This window comes from Homo sapiens, chromosome 13 (genome assembly GCF_000001405.40).
Source record: "Homo sapiens chromosome 13, GRCh38.p14 Primary Assembly".
NCBI lineage: Eukaryota > Metazoa > Chordata > Mammalia > Primates > Hominidae > Homo > Homo sapiens.
In genome coordinates, this window is record NC_000013.11 from 87,031,291 (window position 1) to 87,052,277 (window position 20,987).

At 37.0% G+C, this 20,987-nt stretch overlaps 1 long non-coding RNA gene across 2 annotated transcripts in view, besides 1 other annotated feature; it reads left to right on the forward strand.

Annotated features, from left to right (window-relative positions):
• The window catches only part of LOC105370301 (uncharacterized), a 66,794-nt gene extending 46,905 nt beyond the window's left edge, over positions 1–19,889 (forward strand). For both annotated transcript variants that reach the window (XR_931624.1, XR_931623.2), the window contains exon 3: positions 19,828–19,889. This is a non-coding gene — a long non-coding RNA (uncharacterized LOC105370301). The remainder of the gene's footprint in view (positions 1–19,827) is intronic.
• Positions 11,364–12,563: an enhancer, noted in NCBI's record as "P300/CBP strongly-dependent group 1 enhancer chr13:87694909-87696108 (GRCh37/hg19 assembly coordinates)". NCBI's record gives its function as "activates an origin of replication core promoter dependent on BRD2, BRD4, P300/CBP, MED14 and CDK7 cofactors, with strong dependence on P300/CBP, by STARR-seq in HCT116 cells {active_cell/tissue: HCT116}" and the evidence as "EXISTENCE:reporter gene assay evidence [ECO:0000049][PMID:35650434]".
• Positions 19,890–20,987: the final 1,098 nt, after the last annotated feature.

Consider the following 20,987-nt stretch of genomic DNA (forward strand, 5'->3'; position numbering starts at 1 on the left):
AAGGTATTGTTCACTATGTCCTCCTCAGCAGAGAAGAATTGCTGTAAGTCAGGGAAAGTCTGATGTTTCTATGTGAAAACTTCAACCAATTCTATCTTTAATATGACCAGTAAAATAGGCAGCTCTACCTTTTAGAAAATGTTCATTTGCTATTAGATCCAGAAGCTTCTTAAAAGAATCATAAGAGGACATTAATAAAGTCAATGTTAATGCTATGCATTATTATTATTATTATTAGACAGAATTTCGCTCTTGTTGCCCAGGCTGGAGTGCAATGGCGCAAGCTCGACTCGACTCAACCTCTGTCTCCTGGGTTTAACTGATTCTCCTGCCTCAGCCTCCCGAGTAGTTGGAATTACACGCATGTGCCACCACACCCAGCTAATTTTGTATTTTTAGTGGAGATGGGATTTCTCCATGTTGGTCAGGCTGGTCTCGAACTCCCGACCTCAGGTAATCCGCCACCTCAGCCTCCCAAAGTGCCGGATTACAGGTGTGAGCCACTGTGCCCAGCTGCATTATTTTTATTATATATATATTTTTAGATGGAGTCTCACTCTGTTGCCCAGGTTGGAGTGCAAAGCCGTGATCTCAGTTCACTGCAACCTCCGCCTCCCAGGTTCAAGTGATTCTCGTGCCTCAGCCTCCCAAGAAGCTAGGATTACAGGCACCCGTCACCATGCCCAACTAATTTTTGTATTTTTAGTAGAGGCGGGATTTCACCGTGTTGACCAGGCTTGTCTCGACCTCCTGACCTCAGGTGTTCCGCCCGCCTCAGCCTCCCAAAGTTCTGGGATTATGGGGTGAGCCAACTCGCCTAGCCGCTATGCACTATTTTAAGCTGAGCTTTTCTCCTATTCCTAGATCAACTGCATTATCCGTCGTAACTCTTAGTCATTTTAGTAAAATGCATAGTACATTTAAGAATTCAAAAAATATGTATTGAGTTATTTTTGAGTTAGATATTGAAGATAAGTAGAAAACAAAACAGATAAACCCCCTTCCCTTATGAGGTGTTTATCTACTGAAATAACTGTTGGTATATCTCAAAGAAAATGATGTCAACACTAGCAAAATCACTGAAGTATTAATTTTGCCATTTCCTACCCAATATCAAGTAATACCTATTTTTAAATTATAAGTTACTGTCGAAAAAATTATTAAAAATTTTTATGAAAGTCAACATTTCTAAATGTAATCATCTTCTGTTTTTTTTTTCTTTAATAGAAGCTCTGTAGGAAATCCCAAGTCAAAGTATCATTGGCCAAATATTACTTATTGGAAAACTCACATAACTCTAGCAAAAGCAAGAGGATAGATTATCCTCAGCATCAAATTCTAGGTGCTTCACCGTGAAATCTCTTTCACTTCATCTTTTGTCAGTATTTCCCATTCCTTATTGGCTTCTTTCTCCCAAGCAAGTTTCCAACACATGCCAGGAAACAATGCCAGTGGTAAAAACTGAGCATGCTTCTACCCAGAGAAACATGGAGCCCCACTATTAGTTTTGGAAAATTGTTTAGTGTAACTTTGGTGAAATCAAAATCCCTAGATCAATCAATAGATCAGTCAAGGTGATAAGAATTTAAAAAGTGGTAATTATTACATAATTCGTAATTGCACATGCAAAATCAATGTGTCTTTGAAGGAAAGCTGCTGGGCAAGGAAAGCAATACGTGTCTCCAGTATTTGTCTGAACCCCAGGTTAGTTACGCTTTCCATCCATATAGCTTCATTTTGGACTTTATTCTTTGTAATAGCTGACCCTTTATAAGAATACCTAAAGTCAGTTTATAAAATTTATCTAAACTGTACTTCTCAAGCACCTCACATTTGCCTAATTCCAAAGGACAGAGGGATATCAAACCTCTAGCTCTGCACTCTTATATTTCAAGTCGATGAAGAAAATGATTGCTTCAAAGAATATCATTCTCTAATATTTATTATTCTATTTTAGAAAACAAAATCATCTTAGTTTCATACTAAATCTAATCTGTCCATGCAAGCTGACTAGAGCTTATGAAAAAAATTGAAAATCAGATAACAGAAATCATCCACCAGGAAATTAATTATGATCCTTTCCTATGCCTGTATTTTCTGCAATGACTTCTTTAATGGCAACTTCTCCCCGTTAATTGACCTTCTGAATATTTGAAATCATTTAATTTCCATTTCCTTCTCTAACAATTTCATGCAGGAATTACAATGCAGAGATGAGCTCTTCCAGGGACAGAATAAATTTTCTATTTTGACCAGGGCACTCCAAATTTAGGACAGGTCACCGTTAACATCCCAGCTTTTATCTGATTCCCATTTCATGCTATTCTGTCTGCATTGCTTGAGTCTCTGGAGAAGCTTAAGAAATTTTTGGAATGCATTCTACCGGGTGTCTTTCTTCATTCTCCTTCTTTCTTTTTCCTCCTGAATTATTTAGTCCATAAATTGAGGCTTTTGAAAAGGCTCCCCTCTTGTTCGAACATTTCTACCAGCTGGAGAATCATCATCAACAGATTTCTGAACTGAAGCTGCTTCCTTGATGTGTCCAATTTTTGTAACCTTATGCACCCAGTAAGAAACTACATGTACTTAGCCAGGTGGTCCTCCCCAAAGCATCGCCTTCCTTCAGCATTTCAGCTTCCAAGGACTTAAATAACTTGCACTACATCAGTGACTGCAAAAACATTCCAAATTTGCTACCTCCTTCACTATAGCAAGAACATATCCTTTTAATCTTTCTTTAATGTTTAATTTTCCTCTGTTGTTCCTCTAATCCTTTGAAGTAGACACAGCTGTTAAAGATATTTTTAACTTAATTCTCAATTTATCCTTAGTCTACCTCTGCCACGTTTTGCTGGATCAGAGTATCTTCCTCTCTATTTGCTACAGGCCAATACATTGATTTTTCTAACAAAGTATTGCTTTGTGGAGTTGAGAGATGGGAGTTGGCAATTTCAGAGATTTTGACTGCATATTCCCATTAAGTTAGCTCTCACTGCACATGCAGGGATGCAATGTAGAAATTATTCCAATTATCATGTCTATAAATCCTACTTATAGACGATAGGTAGGGGGAATATTATCAGTGGATCTGTAACCCACTGTAAAGCATGGTGTCATTTATTACTTGTTCCTCATAAACCCCCACTCTCACAGGAAGCTCATGGTGATACATGGGTGTCTGGGTATTCATGTCATATCAGAACTTTGTGTTCAACAGTTTTCAAAATTTCTACTCATTCTCCTTTCCTCATCGTACAGTCAACTGACTAAATGGCCATAGGTTCTTTTGGAGAAGAACTGGGGGAATAAGTGTGGATAAGCTTACCATGCAGTTGCAGAATACTTCCTACTAAGCATTCAGACTCCTCTTCAGTCAATGGATTTCACAAGTGAAAACTAATTAAGGTCTGGGAACTGAGAATGTGGCATTTTGGTTGAGGTAACCACTCTCACACCTACATGTGCATCATTGTTGAAGATCCCAAGGGATACCATTATCTATTAACCATCGACACAATTCCCAGCTGGCAGTCTCCTTGCCTGCCCTTCCAAATTTGTTATGTATTACAGTAATTGCAGCCTTCTGGCTCCTGGTAATTAAGTACTGTCAACTGGCCTCTATTAGTGTGGGGTCACATGGATGTTGATGAACTCAGCACTGTAATCACTACTCCTAATGTTTTACCTAGCCGGCAATGAAGAGACATTGCTTGGCTTCCTGTAGCAATGCTGGCATTGCTACACCAACACATTCCTAAAATGCAATTCTCTGGCAGCGAGGTGAGGAAAATAGCCAGAAGATTGTGTTCCACTGGGAAGACAAAAAGAACACACCACTTCCCAAGGATATGAGGAATGCCAGCATGCACATTTCCATCAGCCTCTGTCTTCTTTGGTCTACTGGGAGACAGGACATAATTACACACTTCATGTAAATATAAAAATAATTACCTATTTCTGTCAGCTCACATCCTTAATCAAGCAGCCTCGATATTCAGTATCTGTGATACTCCCATGGTTGACTGTAATATGTCAGTCATGAGTATTTAAATACTCACTAATTCTGTACCTCTAAATACTTGATACTTTATTTTCTGCTCAGCTATGTTTATCTTACAACTACAGGAGATAAAGTACTACTCATAAGCTGCAACATAGGCACTTTGACTCTCAAAATTTATCTGATATTAATCACCTTAAGTCTCTCATCCCTCTGCAGAATGTCAGAAATAACCAGCCATCAATGCTATGGTCCATAATTTTCTAGTACCTGGAGCATTGCCCCTGCAAGCGTAACTCTCGCATGTGTAACATTTCCCAGGGCACCTCAGTGAAGTATTTAGTAAACCTCCACTGCCACACTATATATGCCATACATACAACTCTGGATATCATCATGTCGGCTAACCATGTGATGAGTAAGCGATTTCAGAATGCAGCCTCTTTGCTTCAGATCACTGCTGGAACCACATGCTTTAGTTTGAGTCCTCCAAGAAGCAAAGAAAATAGCATTAAACGTGCAAGAGATTTATTAGGCAAGAGAGAATGGGTGGGAGCCTAAAAAGTTCAGGAAAGTCATCACACCATGAGGCAGGGCTGACTCAGTGAGAAACGTCGGATAGAAAAAAAAGAAATCTTATCGACAGTGGTACAGTACCAACAAAGATATAGCAAGAACAGTGATAAGTTTTCAAGCCTAAGTCATCTGTTGTAAACTAAACTGAAAACTAAATAAAATCCTAAGTCCCCCAACCAACTGAATGGATCCACTCTTGGCCAAGGGGACCCTAAAGAAACCTTAAAACTTGAGTTCCGGGCCGGGCGCGGTGCCTCACGCCTGTAATCCCAGCATGTTGGGAGGCTGAGGCTGGCAGATCATGAGGTCAGGAGATTGAGACCATCCTGGCTAACACGGTGAAGCCTTGTCTCTACAAAAATAAAAAATAAAAAAATTAGCCTGGCGTGGTGGCGGGCGCCTGTAGTCCCAGCTACTCGGGAGGCTGAGGCAGGAGAATGGCATGAACCCGGGAGGCAGAGCTTGCAGTGAGCCGAGATCGCGCCACAGCCTGGGTGACAGAGCGAGACTACGTCTCAAAAAAAAAAAAAAAAAAAAAAAAAAAATTGAGTTCCCAGCCAGGATGGGATGGGAAGCCTGACACATCTTGTTACAGCCCCTACCTTTTTTGTTTAGATGCAACAACTGACCAGCATTAATGTTACAATAGAGGTCATAAGACTAACGGAACAAACCATCTGCGGCAATAAGATATCAAATTATAAACAGGACCTGAGGTCATGCCAAGCAAGGGTTAAGCCATACACCCCGTACGCTTAAAGAACAAACTATGCTCTAATTACCACAAGGCTTTTCTTTTTCTCTGGCAGCTAAACAAGCACTAGCCTTGAGATAAAACAAAATTCAAACAACTGAAGCTCATTACCAGTCACTGACTATCTGACCCTTTGTTCCACAAACCATAACTACAGCTTGGATTGGACAAGAGACTGATTTCTATAACTCTCCTTAGAAGAGGCCACTAACCATGAACTGTTTCTGGCCAGTTTCACAGGGCTGCACATTACCGTGCCTTCCTGTCCCTGCTTCACCTTTTGACATGTAGGATCTAATTGCGATGCCTTCAAATGTTTTCATGGCCGGGCGCCGTGGCTCACGCCTGTAATCCCAGCACTTTTGGGAGGCCGAGCTGGGCGGGATTGCTTGAGCTCAGGAATTCGAGATCAGCCTGGGCAACACTGTGAATCCCCGTCTCTACTAAAAATACAGAAATTACCCGGGAGTGGTGGCACGCGCCTGTGGTCTCAGCTAGCTACTCGGGAGGGTGAGGCAGGAGAATGGCTTGAACCTGGGAGGCGGAGCTTGCAGTGGGCCGAGATCAAGCCACTACCCTCCAGCCTGGGTGACAGTGAGACTCCGTCTTAAAAAAAAAAAATTTTCATATGTTACATACGACTCAGTGAACATGAGTTATATGTAACATGCATGGTTATTTGGTATGCATGTGTTAGAACCACTTTTATAAATAATCAGAAATCCCCCTTAACCTACTGAATATGTATACGTGGCCAACCCATTCAGCATAAATCCCTGTTTCACTCTCCTCTCCCTTGAAGTGCCTGCTAATCTCCTCTGCTGGAGGCTAATATTCCCAGCCTGTCGGAAGGGCAATCTTGAAGATTGTGATGCTTTACAAGAAATAAATAGAAAAGAAATAATTCTCCTTTCCAACTTTATGAAGACCTCTGGATTTTTCAGCTGATAACGTGTGTTATATCTCCCAGGAATGAGATATCTTCACTAACCCTAACAGGGACACTCAGTCCTTGCTGAGAGGATCCTATTGAAAGTATGACCGTGCTGAGTGTGCTGTAATGGACTTCGGGGCACAGCAACTGTGTCCAATGCTCAATTATGTTTCCTGCAGTCAGATATCTGATAGGCACATTTTCACGACAATGATTCCTATTTCCTGACGAGGTTTCATTAGCATGCAACCTCTGCAGTTTCATAAGGTCCCAAGCTGAAGAGACTTTACACTTCATTTAATGCTTCTTAAATTTCTTAATGATTTTAAAAGAAGGAGCCCCACCTTAGGCTCTAGAAATTATATAATTAGTCTTATGTGTTATTGTAACTATAATTAACATTCTAAGAAAACTTGGTCATTTTCACCTAGAGTAGTGTATTTTTGAATAAGAAGTAATTTTCACTTATCAGTCTAACATGTATCTCAACTGATATTTGGTCTATTATGACTTGCAATTACTCTGTTATTGTTTCTCATACGCTCCAACTCTAAAATCCTCCTAGATTTGTTTTCTCATATAAAATATAGTTTTTGTTATCACCCATGCAAATGTTACTTACATTCCAACAGTCTCATGATTCTATAGTGAATTTTACCTTCATTCAAACATCAAATTTGTGTAAAGCACATAATTAGTCCAGCTTTTTAGAATATTATACTCAATAGAATTTACTTTTGACTCCCTTTTGTGTATTTTAGGGAATACCTTTCCAAAATTTGCCATTACCTTCGATTATCTGGGCATTTCATTCAAGTTTGATTTCTGAGTTTATTCCTTTTGTATTTTGATATATGTTTGGCACAGACCTCAAGATATAACAAAATATAATTTATAATCACCTAGATTATGGCTTAAAAGTAACTAACTGTATTAGTTTTTTCTTTTGTATAAAGTTCTAACATTGCCTGGTCATCATAAAATAGTGCCTTTTTCAGAACAATGATTATTTTTTTTCTTCAAGTTGGTTTCGCATTGCTTTTCTTCAGACCATTTCTAATATAATTTTATTACAATGTAAGTTTTCCTTTTCATGTTTAATGTTTAGTATTCCCTTTGAAAAGCTTGATTAATGTTTTTCTATTTCAAATTCTTGTTCTTAAGTCTTTTCATCTTGTCATTGTGTTTTTTATTCAGTTCATAAAGCCAAAATTTTTAAAATTCTTTCTCCTTGTATTTTACAAGAATATTATTAAAGCTGGTCCCTCATTCTAACTTCCAAATATAATAATTTATCTTGATAATAAAGGCCTCCTTTTTATACACATTGGCTAAAAGGCTGCCTTGTAAGCTTTTACCGAATCCAGAGTTTGAGTCATTTAAATTTATAGTCATATGCAAGACTTACTCTATGAACTAACTAGAGGTGATTTGAAAACAAGTAGCGAAAGTTAACTGTGAGGTTGCTGTCAAACCCCTGTGAAAAGTTGGGTACTACGGTCTGAAGTCCACAGGCTCTGTCATCTGGAGAACAGCTGGAGTGACCTCTTGCCAGGAGAAACCTGAGTGTGAGAATCTACATGAACATGTTCCCCCAGTCAACCCTGTGTTTGTGGAAACCATTGCCTATAGAAAATGCTGCATCAGTGGTGTAGCTTTGGTCAATGTTGCAAAGCTTCTATCCACTGTGTTGAGGACAGTTCCCATCATTTTGCAGTGTTTTGACAAAAACATCAACAAAAAATGCTTTTACATGGTAGGCTGCATGATACACATTGATGAAAAATCAGGACAAATACAGTCCCAGCTGTCTGTATATTTTGAAATAGGGTGAGAGAAAAACCTTATATGTTTAGAGGCCTTTGGTCTTGCTCATGTTAACGCCTGTTTATTGGCCATTGTGCACACATCGCCTAAAGTGGATGTAGTCTCAATAACTATTAAGCTTTGCCAACAGCCCATATTTATTTGGTGTGATATTTACTCTCTTCCCAAAGCTTATTTTAACATTTTCAGGAAGCTTGTGCCATGTTTTCAAAAGGAAGTGATTAAACTGGTCTATTTGTACTTGCTTTAATCTAGTCTCATTTGCAATGGATACAGTTAAAATTGCATATTGAATTTTGTCATGGGGATTTTATAATTTCAAAAATTCAAAGGACCTAAATATCTTCTATACTTAATTTCTTTGGTCATTTTTGTTAGCTAACTGATGGTGGGAAGAGTAAAATATAGCTCATAAACAAGCATATGTTTTGGAAGTGTGGGGTTCAAATGGTCATTAGAGAAACATTTTTGAATGTGGTCAAAATGAGCACTAGTATAAAATCAATGAGTTCTTAATAAATAATATTTTATTTTATCTATTCATGATTATAAATGCATAATTAGCCACTGCAAATGCTAATAGGCATGTATAAAGAGCTTTTAATTCCCTTTTCAAGTTAACAATTGAAACTGCTAGTGAAATCAAAGATCAGAAGATATATGGATGTATTGGCAGATCTATTCTACTCTATTAATGCCAAATGTCTGGATTGATTATAAATTCTTATGTCCTCAAAAGGTCTGTTAATACTTACTTCTAAAGATGAAACATACATGTAACTGTGTTTTATTTTCTTTATTATTTTGAATTTTGTTTTTTATCTTTGAATTTCTACTTTATGAATTTTATGATTAATATGCATAGGTATAGAAGTTAAATTATATTGTATAATTTAAAAGTTCTCATGAAAGTGAAATAATTCCAGTAAGATACACTAAAATGTTCAAATTTATAATTCAGGATGAAATAAGAAATCATTATAATGGGTAATTTGGAAGAACATGAAATAGGTAATGCACTGATAATGAAAAAGATTTAAAAAAAGTTTGAGTAATCAAGAGCTAAGCTATATTGAAGATAAAATAAGTTTTTTTTTCTATTGACAGAGGATAATTTGCATATTGGAATCAAAAGAAAAAGTTCCCTGAAAAATCATGATTCTTATAGTAATGACTATAATTCTTATAATACTTTCGATTTACATGACATTTCTAATTAAGATGACCTTCATGATACATATAAAACAGCATCTAGAATATATCAGCAATTATCGTATAATAAGCACTTAATAAATGTTAGGAATAGAAGGCTTTACCAATTCATTTTTTAGCAGGAAGTGAAATTCAACTCAATCCTTTTTTTAAGAAAAAATAGCAATAATTTTGTCTGCATCTGGGGAATCACAGGATATAGTTGCTTTATGCACTACTAGATCTATTGCCCTTTTGAATAAGTCATTAGTAAATCTGATTTTTCTCCACTTTTCAACTAGGTTCCTTTCACATCCACTAAAGTATATTATAGTCATATTGTTAGGGGTAGGTCTCCAAGTTACTGACGGTGAATCTGTAGGGGTCTGCAGAAACCTCAATTCATGCCTCCTCAGAAAAAATAATTCAATTGAAGGGAATAAGACAGAAAAAGAGACCAAGGCAAGTTTCAGAGCAGGAGTAGAAGTTTATTAAAAAACTTTAGAACAGAAAAAAAAAAAAGAAACTACACTTGGAAGAGACCCAAGTGGGCAACTTGATGGACAAGTGTGGCGTTTAACCTTGATTCTAGAACTATACATGCTTGCTCACCTCCAGTGGCTTGCTCCCCTTTCCCTTCATTTTTCCCTAAGGGCAAGCCACCCACATGCACAGTGCTCTCCTTACACTTGGGAGGTGAGCACGCACAGTGCGTTTAGGAAGTTGTACACATGGCCATGTGAGGTTTTCTTCCCTTTTCTGGTGGAATGCCTCCAGAAGACCATACTCCGTCATTTTGTCTCTTAATCTGCATGCCTGGGCTCACTCGCCCAATTCCTGAAATTTTATTGGAAGCAGATTCATTACTAATCTCAAGTATTTTTATCTGTTTGGAAAGTTGCCCCTACCTGGTGCCTATAATCAATTAACACTTTAGTGTGACATGTGTGGACCATTAGAAAATGGCCTCTCCCTGGCACTGGCTGCCAAATTATTTTTAGTGAAGCAGTGTGATAACCGCAGAACCATCACCTGATGGTCACCTGACATTCGTGGTGGGTGGAGGAAGGGAGAGGCCTCTCCTGCCTCGCTCATGCCTGTCTAACTACCTGTAACTACAATATTGCATTAGGACATTCTCGCATGGCTATAAAGGCATACTTGAGACTGAGTAACATATAAAGAAAAGAGGTTTAATTGGCTCACAGTTCTGCAGGCTGTACAGAAAGCATGGTGCTGGCATGTGCTTGGCTTCTGAGGAGCCCTGGGGGAGTTTTTATTGATGGCTGAAGGTGAATTAGGAGCAGGCACATCACAGGGCTTGAGTGAGAGCAAGTGGGTTGGGGGCAGGTGCAACACACTTTTAAACAACTAGATCTCATGCAAACTCACTTGCTATCCTGGGGATAGCACCAAGGCGATAGTGCTAAATCATTCATGAGAAATCCATCCCCATGATCCAATCACCTCCTACCCAGCCCCACCTCTAACATTGGGGATTACATTTCAACATGAGATTTGGAGGGACAAATACCAAAATACATGAAATATGAATTTAAAAAGTGGAGGATTTGATTCAATGAACAACCACCCACAGCTTTGTTTAAAAGTATTTACAGAAAGAGTTGTTTTTGTAAAACAACATATTAAAATAGCATAAATTTAGGATATCTTTAAATAAAAGTTGATTAATTACTTTAAATAGGTAATATTGAGAGAATGAAAAGTCAGTATGCAGTGAACTAGAAGCAACAACTATATTACACTGAGGTATTCCCTAGAATAAAATACGAAGAATTAAAATAGAAATCACATTTTGCAAAAGTATATGGCCTAATTTTCTTTTAAGATGGGCTGAAATCTTCCTGGGGAGGGAATAGATCTGTGATTTTTATTGTTTTTGATTTGATGAGTTAGAGTTTATAGGAAAATAAGAGCAGTGTGAAGTTTTTTAAAGGAGGATCAGAAACTGAACATAAAAGAGAAGTACCAGGGAAGCATAGAATTGTTAAGACATGGCATATCCGTTAGCATAATAAGGGGAATAAAGAGTAAAGAATGTTGTAGTTACTTTATTTGAATATAAATATGTTGTTTTTTGTGCCTGCTAAAGTGACAGAAAAATAATGAACAAAAATACATCAAGTACTGTGGCTTGTAAAACCTTTGTTAAATAAGATAGCCTTCCAAAATCCTCTACAATGCTACTTTATTTCCCATGCCTACAAAAGGATCTTTGCTGTCTGTTACTGGGTTCAAAATGTTCCTTCTTCTTAGCATGATATTCTTAAATTAATATGTGATAATTTATGTAAAACAATTTTAGTTTTTGCATAGGCATCAAGAGTGTTCATTTTCATAATATGAGATGATACATAATTTTTAAATCTTAAGCTTACTTATACAGTGGTCCTACAATGAAATTCTCCAGCTTCAAATTCATTCATAGCCGCACTTTTTCCTTGGATCTGAAATGTTCTGAAAGTAATTTAATTGTCTCTCTCCACTACTTAGTGAATCATATTAGTGACTAAAGATCTCTGAATAAAGGTGAAAAAGGCACTCATAAGTACTGAGTCAACATGAGGAAAGTATTATGTCATTATGATAATAACACAATATATTTGTACAGAGCTTTATAGTTTATGAGGTGCTTTTATGTGCTTTAAATCATTTGATCTGTAAAATAACTCTGAATAAGTAAGGGTATTTTTTATTGCACATTACAGACATATCAGCCTAAAGTAGTGTAAGAATTTAGAGAAATTTGGTGGCTGGCAAGATGGCCAAATAGGAAGAGTTCCGGTCTGCGGATCCAGCGAGATCAACGCAGAAGGATGGCGATTTCTGCATTTCCAACCAAAGTATCTGGCTCATCTCATTGCGACTGGTTAGATAGTGGGAGTGAAAAAAAGAAAAGACCCATCAATGTGCTGTATTCAAGAGACACAAATCACGTGGAAAGACACACATAGGCTCAAAATAAAGGGATGGAGGAATATTTACCAAGCAAATGGAAAGCAAAAAAAAGCAAGGGTGGAAATCTTAGTCTCTGATAAAACAAACTTTAAACAAAGATCATAAAAGACAAAGAAGGGCATTACATACTGGTAAAGGGATTAATGCAAAAAAAAGAGCTAACTCCTAAATATATATGCACCCAATACAGGATCACTCAGATTCAAATAAACAATGGGGAAATATTCCCTATTTAATAAATGGTGTTGGGAAAACTGGCTAGCCATAAATCAAGTTCTTAGAGACCAACAAAGAGACTTAGACTCCCGCACAATATTTGTGGGAGACTTTAACATCCCACTGTCAATATTAGACAGATCAATGGAACAGAAAATTAACAAGGATATTCAGGACATGAACTTAGCTCTGGACCAAGCAGACCTAATAGACATCTAAAGAACTCTCCACCCCAAATCAACAGAATATACCTTCTTCTCAACACCACATCGCATTTATTCTAAAATTGACCAGACAACTGGAAGTAAAATGCTCCTTAGCAAATGCAAAAGAACGGAAATCATAAGAAACAGTCTCAGACCACAGTGCAATCAAACTAGAACTCAGAATTAAGAAACTCACTCAAAACCTCACAACTACATAGAAAATGAACAACCTGCTCCTGAATGACAACTGGGTAAATAATGAAATTAAGGCAGAAATAAATAAGTTCTTTGAAACCAATGAGAACAAAGACAAAACATACCATAATCTCTGGGACACAGCAAAAACAGTGTTTAGAGGGAAATTTATAGCACCAAATACCCACAGAAGAAAGTGGGAAAGATCTAAAATTGACACCCTAACATCACAATTAAAAGAACTACAGAAGCATCAGCAAACAAATTCAAAAGCTAGCAGAAGACAAGAAATAACTAACATCAGAGCAGAACTGAAGGAGATAGAGACAACACACAAAAACGCTTTAAAAATTAGTGAATCCAGGAGCTGTTTTTTTTGAAAAGATTGACAAAATAGATAGACCGCTAGCCAGACTAATAAAGAAGAAAAGAGAGAAGAATCATATAGACACAATAAAAAATGATAAAAGGGATGTCACCATTGATCCCACAGAAATACAAACTACCATCAGAGAATACTATAAACACCTCCATGTAAATAAGCTAGATAATCTAGAAGAAATGGATAAATTCCTGGACACATACACCCTCCCAAGACTAAACCAGGAAGAAGTCAAATCCCTGAATAGACCAATAACAAGTTCTGAAATTGAGGTAGTATTTAACAGCCTACCAACCAAAAAAATCCCAGGACCAGATTGATTCACAGGCGAATTTTACCAGAGGTACAAAGAGGAGCTAGTACCATTCCTTCTGAAACTATTACAAACAATAGAAAAAGAGAGACTCCTCCCTAACTAATTTTAAGGCCAGCGTCATCCTGATACCAAAATCTGGCAGAGACACAACAAAAAAAGAAAATTTCAGGACAATACCCCTAATGAACATCAATGCAAAAATCCTCAATAAAATACTGGCAAACCAAATCCAGCAGCACATCAAAAAGCTGAGTCCACCACGATCAAGTCGGCTTCATCCCTGGGATGCAAGCCTGGTTCAACATATGCAAATCAATAAATGTAATCTATCACATAAACAGAGCTAATGACAGAAACCACATGATTATCTCAATAGATGAAGAAAAGACCTTAGAAAAAATTCAACACTCCTTCATGCTAAAAACTGTCAATAAACTAGGTATTGATGGAGTGTATCTCAAAATAATATGAGCTATTTATGATAAACCCCACCACCAATATCATACTGAATAGGCTAAAGCTGGAAGCATTCCCTTTAAAAACTGGCACAAGACAAGGATGCCCTCTCTCACCACTCCTATTCAACATAGTACTGGAAGTTCTGGCCAGGGCAATCAGGCAAGAGAAAGAAATAAATGGTATTCAAATAGGAAGAAAAGAAGTCAAATTGTCTCTGTTTGCAGATGACATTATTGTATATTTAGAAAACCCCATCATCTCAGCCCAAATTCTCCTTAAGCTGATAAGCAACTTCAGCAAAGTCTCAGGATACAAAATCAATGTGCAAAAATCACAACCATTCATATACACCAATAACAGACAAACAGAGAGCCAAATCATGAGTGAACTCCCATTCACAATTGCTACAAAGAGAATAAAATACCTAGGAATACAACTTACAAGGGATATGAAGGACCTTTTCAAGGAGAACTACAAACCACTGCTCAAGGAAATAAGAGAGGACACAAACAAATGGAAAAACATTCCATGCTCATGGATAGGAAGAATCAATATTGTGAAAATGGCCATACTGCCCAAAGTAATTTATAGATTCAATGCTATCTTCATCAAGCTACCATTGATTTTCTTCACAGAATTAGAAAAAACTACTTTAAATTTCACATGGAACCAAAAAAAGCCCATATTGCCTAGTCAATTCTAAGCCAAAAGAACAAAGCTGGAGGCATCACGCTACCTGACTTCAAACTATACTACAGGCTACTGTAACCAAAACAGCATGGCAATGGTACTGAAACAGATATGTAGACCAATGGAACAGAACAGAGGCCCCAGAAATAACATCACATATCTACAACCCTCTGATCTTTGACAAATATGACATAAACAAGCAATGGGGAAAGGATTCGCTACTTAATAAATGGTATTGGGAAAACTGAACCTGGACCCCTTCCTTACACCTTGTACAAAAATTAACTAACGATAGATTAAAGACTTAAACATAAGACCTAAAACCATAAAAACCCGAGACGAAAACCTAGGCAATACCATTCAGGACATAGACATGGGCAAAGACTTCATGACTAAAACACAAAAACAATGGCAACAAAAGCCAAAATTGACAAATGGGATCTAATTAAATGAAAGAGTTTCTGCACAGCAAAAGAAACTATCATCAGAGTGAACAGGCAACCTACAGGATGGGAGAAAATTTTTGCAATCTATCCGTCTGACAAAGGGTTAATATCTACAAGGAACTTAAACAAATTTACAAGAAAAAAATAAACAACTCCATCAAAAAGTGGGAAAAGGATATGAACAGAGAGTTCTCAAAAGAAGACATTTATGTGGCCAAAAAACATAAAAAAAAAGCTCATCATCCTTGGTCATTAGAGAAATGCAAACAAAACCACAATGAGATGCCATCTCACACCAGTTAGAATGGCAATCATTAAAAAGTCAGGAAACAACAGATCCTGGAGAGGATGTGGAGAAATAGGAACACTTTACACTGTTGGTGGGAGTGAAAATTAGTTCAACCATTGTGAAAGACAGTGTGGCGATTCCTCAAGGATCTAGAACCAGAAATATCATTTGACCCAGCAATCCCATTACTGGGTGTATACCCAAAGATTATAAATCGTTCTACTATAAAGACACATGTACACGTATGTTTATTGCAGCATTTTTCATAATAGCAGAGACTTGGAACCAACCCAAATGCCCATTGGTGATAGACTGGATAAAGAAAATGTGGCACATATACACCATGGAATACTATGTAGCCATAAACAAGGATGAGTTCATGTCCTTTGCAGGGACATAGATGAGGCTGGAAACCATCATTTTCAGCAAACTAATACAGGAACAGAAAACCAAACACTGCTTTTCTCACTCATAAGTGGGAGCTGAACAATGAGAACACATGGACCCAGCGAGGGGAACATCCCACACTGGGGCCTGTTGCAGGGTGAGGGGCTAGGAGAGGGATAACATCAGGAGAAATACCTAATGTAGATGACGGGTTGATGGGTGCAGCAAACCACCCTGGCACATGTATACCTGTGTAACAAACCTGCACATTCTGCACATGTATCCGAGAACTTAAAGTATATTAAAAAAAAGAATTTAGAAGAATTTATATAAAGGTCTTCATCTGATACTTTGAATGCTGTGGTCAGAAATGACTGAAGAACATACAGACAGCAGCTAAAAAGTACTCTCTCTATCTCTCTCTCTTTCTCTCTATCTGTACCCTGCTTTTTCCTATTCCTGTATTTGCTCTCATCCTCCTGCCCTCCTCTATTTCTACTTATTTTATTCATTCTAGTTTTACACATTTATCAGGTATGCAGTATAGAAAATGTCTCCACTGGTAGACTCAAAGCTTTATGTTTTGGGAACAGACAAAGAAAGACTTCTCTTTCTCAATACCCTTTCGAAAATATTTTGTGAAGCATCCCCTAGACCAGCAGGAAGCTTCTGCAAAAACCATTCAGATGAGTGGAAAATAGGGACAAGTCCATTTCACAGAGGGATAAATGAGTCTTATTCTCTAAGAATATCACAAGGTACATAAGAATATCAAACCAAATTTATAAATAAGGAGCCAGGTAAGGCCCAGAGATCTTAATTTATTTTCAACACATTGTATAAAATTTTATCCAAAATATTTATATAAGACTATGTGATTAAATTAATTTGGAATATTACATATCACATATAAACAGTTATTAAGTGATTGCAAAGTAGATGTATGTTATAATTTTTACAACTAACTTAAAGGACTTACCTAGTCTTAGTTTTTAACTTATAGATAATTGAATGAATAGACAAATATATACATGTATATAACACTAGACATACACATATGTATGTATGTAAATATATGTGTATATATACATATATATAATTTATAGTCATGCGTATATTTCTGTTTGTTATTTGCAACTCTAATGGAAACTAATATGTATTGATTAAAAGATCTAGACTGATATATGTTGAATATGAAAACAACTGGTTGTGGTGGCACAATGCTTTAGTCCTCACTACTTGGAAGACTGAGGTAGGAGTATTGCTTGAGTCCTGGAGTTTGAGACTACAGTGCACTATGATCAGGCTTGTGAATAGCCGTTCTGCTCCAGCTTGGGCAACACAGTGAGACTCTGTCACTAAAAAGAAAATAGGGAATGGAAATTTATAACTTTAAAGTTAACAGTATACTATTTGGTTGTCTAAGTTGATCTGTATCCAAAAGAAAAAAACACCAAAATAAGCCAAATTAGCCATCATGGTGGTAGTGTTACCTAAACACCAGGGGGTTAGTCTGGGTCCTGCTGCTCTCCACACAGAAAGCCAATCACTGACACAATGAGTATTGCCAAACAAGAAGGCTTTATTTGGTGCTGCAGCTGAGGAGATGGGAGATCAGTCTTAAATCCATCTCTTTAACTGATTAAATTAGGGGCTTAGAGCAGAAAAGAAAATGTAACAATATATAGGAGAACAGGAATTCAGGAGGGGTAAGGAATTAATCATAATGAATACGGGGCCTGTCATCTCATTGTGTGTACACTATGATCTGGTGAATTTCAGTTCTTTGATGCTTTTTGAGAGACCTGGGGATCCTTTGCTGAGGAAGGAACTCAGATAAAACAAATTTAAGTTCCAAGCTTAAGAACAGATTCTCAATTTCTATATTTATCAAAAAAAAATGGTCTATGAGACTATTGGGTCAGTTTCATTAAGAGACTTACATACTCTAATAAAAGATGTAATCAGGTGTTCTTTGTTCTGAAGTAACTCTAATTTGCTACATAGTCAATATATTTTTGAATATTTCCTGTATGCCAGTCGCTTATCTACCTGCCTTCCAATTATTCACTCAAATAACATCACATGGTAGTCTTTTTAGTGCTCAAACTTCTCTAAATTTTTGTAAGACAGTATGTTTCTAAATTTATTTCCCATTTAGTTAGTCTTAGAGCCTGTTGTTTTGGCTATCGAAAATATTACAGGTAGTAGAATATCAAATAGTCAAGTCTCCTGTCTTCCAAAAATATTTCTGGTATTTCTCAGATACAATATTTAATACTCATAGTTATTCCATAACAATTAACCATATCTATAGTTGGAATACCTATAGGTAACATCATCTTGCAAATAACAATCATTCATGCAAAACTAATTTGTTGATTTGCTTTAAAAGTGCTACACTTCAAGTAAAGACCTACTTAGATAATACAATAATATTCATTTTATTTTTAATGTCATGTGTCATGTGGAGGGAAAAAACTTTTCACATTTTTTCAAATAATGCCTAGGCACTCTGCTGTATGAAGACACTTATTTGATAATTTTATCTGTTGTCATACTCCAGGTAGGGACACAGATGAACATACATGTACACCCACATATGCATTTTTTTTTGCTTTTCTCAAGTATAATTTTATGTTGTGACCTTTATTTATTTTTTTATTTTTGAGTTGGACTATCACTTTGTCAGCAGGTTGGAGTGCAGTGGTGCGATCTTGGCTCACTGCAACCTCCGCCTCCCAGGTTCAAGTGATTCTTATGCCTCAGCTTTCCAAGTAGCTGGGATTACAGGCATGCACCAACATGCCTGGTTTATTTTTGTATTTTTAGTAGAGACAGGGTTTCGCCGTGTTTGCCTGGTTGGTCTCGAACTCCTGACCTCAAGTGATCGCCCGCCTTAGTCTCCCAAAGTGCTGGGATTACAGGGGTAAGCCACCTCACCCAGCCTTTTACGACTTTTAATTAACTCATTTTCTTGTCAAGTTGTTTAAATAAATCTCATATTCGTAAAAGATTTTTCAGCTTGTAGAGAGAAGACAACTATCAGTGTATTTTACAGAAACAACCATTCTCTGTATGACTTTATATACAAATATGCAAATATTTGATGAAATAAAAGTTGCAGAATTAAAATGTTTAATAATGAATTAGAAGTAATCATATCATAATGGTTGAGGATTCCTAATCCAAATATCTGAAATCAAACATAATCCAAAATTCAAAACTTTATAAGTGTTGACATGACTCCACAGGAGGAAAGTTCCATATTTGACCTAATGTGATGAGTTGTAGTCAAAATTTTGTTTTATAAACAAAGTTATTAAAAATATTATCTATCACGCCTGTAATTCCAGCACTTTGGGAGGCCAAGGTGGGCGGATGACCTGAGATCAAGAGTTTGAGACCAGCCTGACCAACATGGAGAAACCCTGTCTCTACTAAAAATACAAAATTAGCTGGACATGGTGGCACATGCCTGTAATCCCACTACTCGGGAGGCTGAGGCAAGAGAATCGCTTCAACCCGGGAAGCTGAGGTTGCAATGAGCCGAGATCGTGCCACTGCACTCCAGCCTGGGCAACAGGAGCAAAACTTTGTCTCAAAAAAAAAAAAAAAGTATCTAATATTACCTGCAGACTATATGTACAAAGTGTATATGAAACATAAATGAATTTTGTGTTTAAACTTGAGTAGTATTCTATAAGATGTATCATTATGTATACACAAAAATTCCAAAATCCCAAAAATCCAAAACTCTAAAACACTTCTTGTCCCAAGCATGTCAGATAAGGGATACTCAACCTGTACTACCACATTTTAGACTTCTTTCAAACAAAGCACTTAATAACAATTGTTTTAAAATAGAACACTGAGATTATGGCAAGTAGAATTAAAGATGTATATTGATAAGTGACTGTTTGAGAAATGTATTTATTTTTATAATTTTGCTTAATGTCAACTGTATTCTATTTATGTAGGTAGAGCTCTCATCATACAGATCGTTGGAAAGTAGCATCCCGACAGTTCTGAGAGAAAAAAAGTGAGTATGCATAAACACAAACACATACACACACACACACGCACAGTTTCTTTTTTGCCATTATTACGGGCTAGCTATTTACTTTGCATTGTCATTTTCTGACTTCTCTTGGACTTCTGAGCTTCAGATACCTGATCAACATTGTGTAAAGGAGACAAGAAGAAAAGAAATTGATTTGTGCTGGCCGGGTACGGTGGCTCACGCCTATAATCCCAGCACTTTGGGAGGCCAAGGCAGGCGGATCACGAGGTCAGGAGATTGAGACCATCCTGGCTAACATGGTGAAACCCCGTCTCTACTAAAAATACAAAAAATTAGCCGGGCGTGGTGGCACACGCCTGTAGTCCCAGCTACTTGGGAGGCTGAGGCAGGAGAACCGCTTGAACCCGGGAGGCAGAGGTTGTAGTGAGCCGAGATCGTGCCACTGCACTCCAGCCTGGGCAACAGAGCGAGACTCCATCTCAAAAAAAAAAAAATTGATTTGTGCCTTAATGCCCACAACTGTGACACATGACATCTTCTATATTCAATGTAGGCTGAAAAATTATATTTTTAACTTTTAAAGAATCAATAGTTTAACAAATATCTCTTCATGAGGTTGGAAATGATAGATCAAAAAGCTTTGGCTTTTGATACAAACCATGATATACAACACCTCTTGAAAATTACTTTTGTAATCAAGACATGTAAACACCTGTCTCTCTCTCTTTCACTCCTTCTCGCTCACTCTCTCTCTCTCTCACACACACACAAACACACAAAGGTAAATGCAAATATAGTAACACATAAATTACTGGAATTTCACTTATTTGTTCCATACTCTTTTAGTTACTCCATAATATGGCTTTAAATACAATTAAGTGTATTTCCCTACTTTTTATTAAGTTCTTCTCATGTCCTTGTGTTAATGTGTGTCCTACCTCAAGATACTTGCTCTGCCAAAAAATAAGATATTTCAAGATAGAAAGTTTTGACCAACTTTTATAATGGAACCCAATACATGAAGAATTCTCTCTTTAAAAATGTTTTTTTTTCTACAAAGAATAGATTTATGTTTTATTGTTAGCAAAATTAGCAATCTATTATTAGCAAAATTAA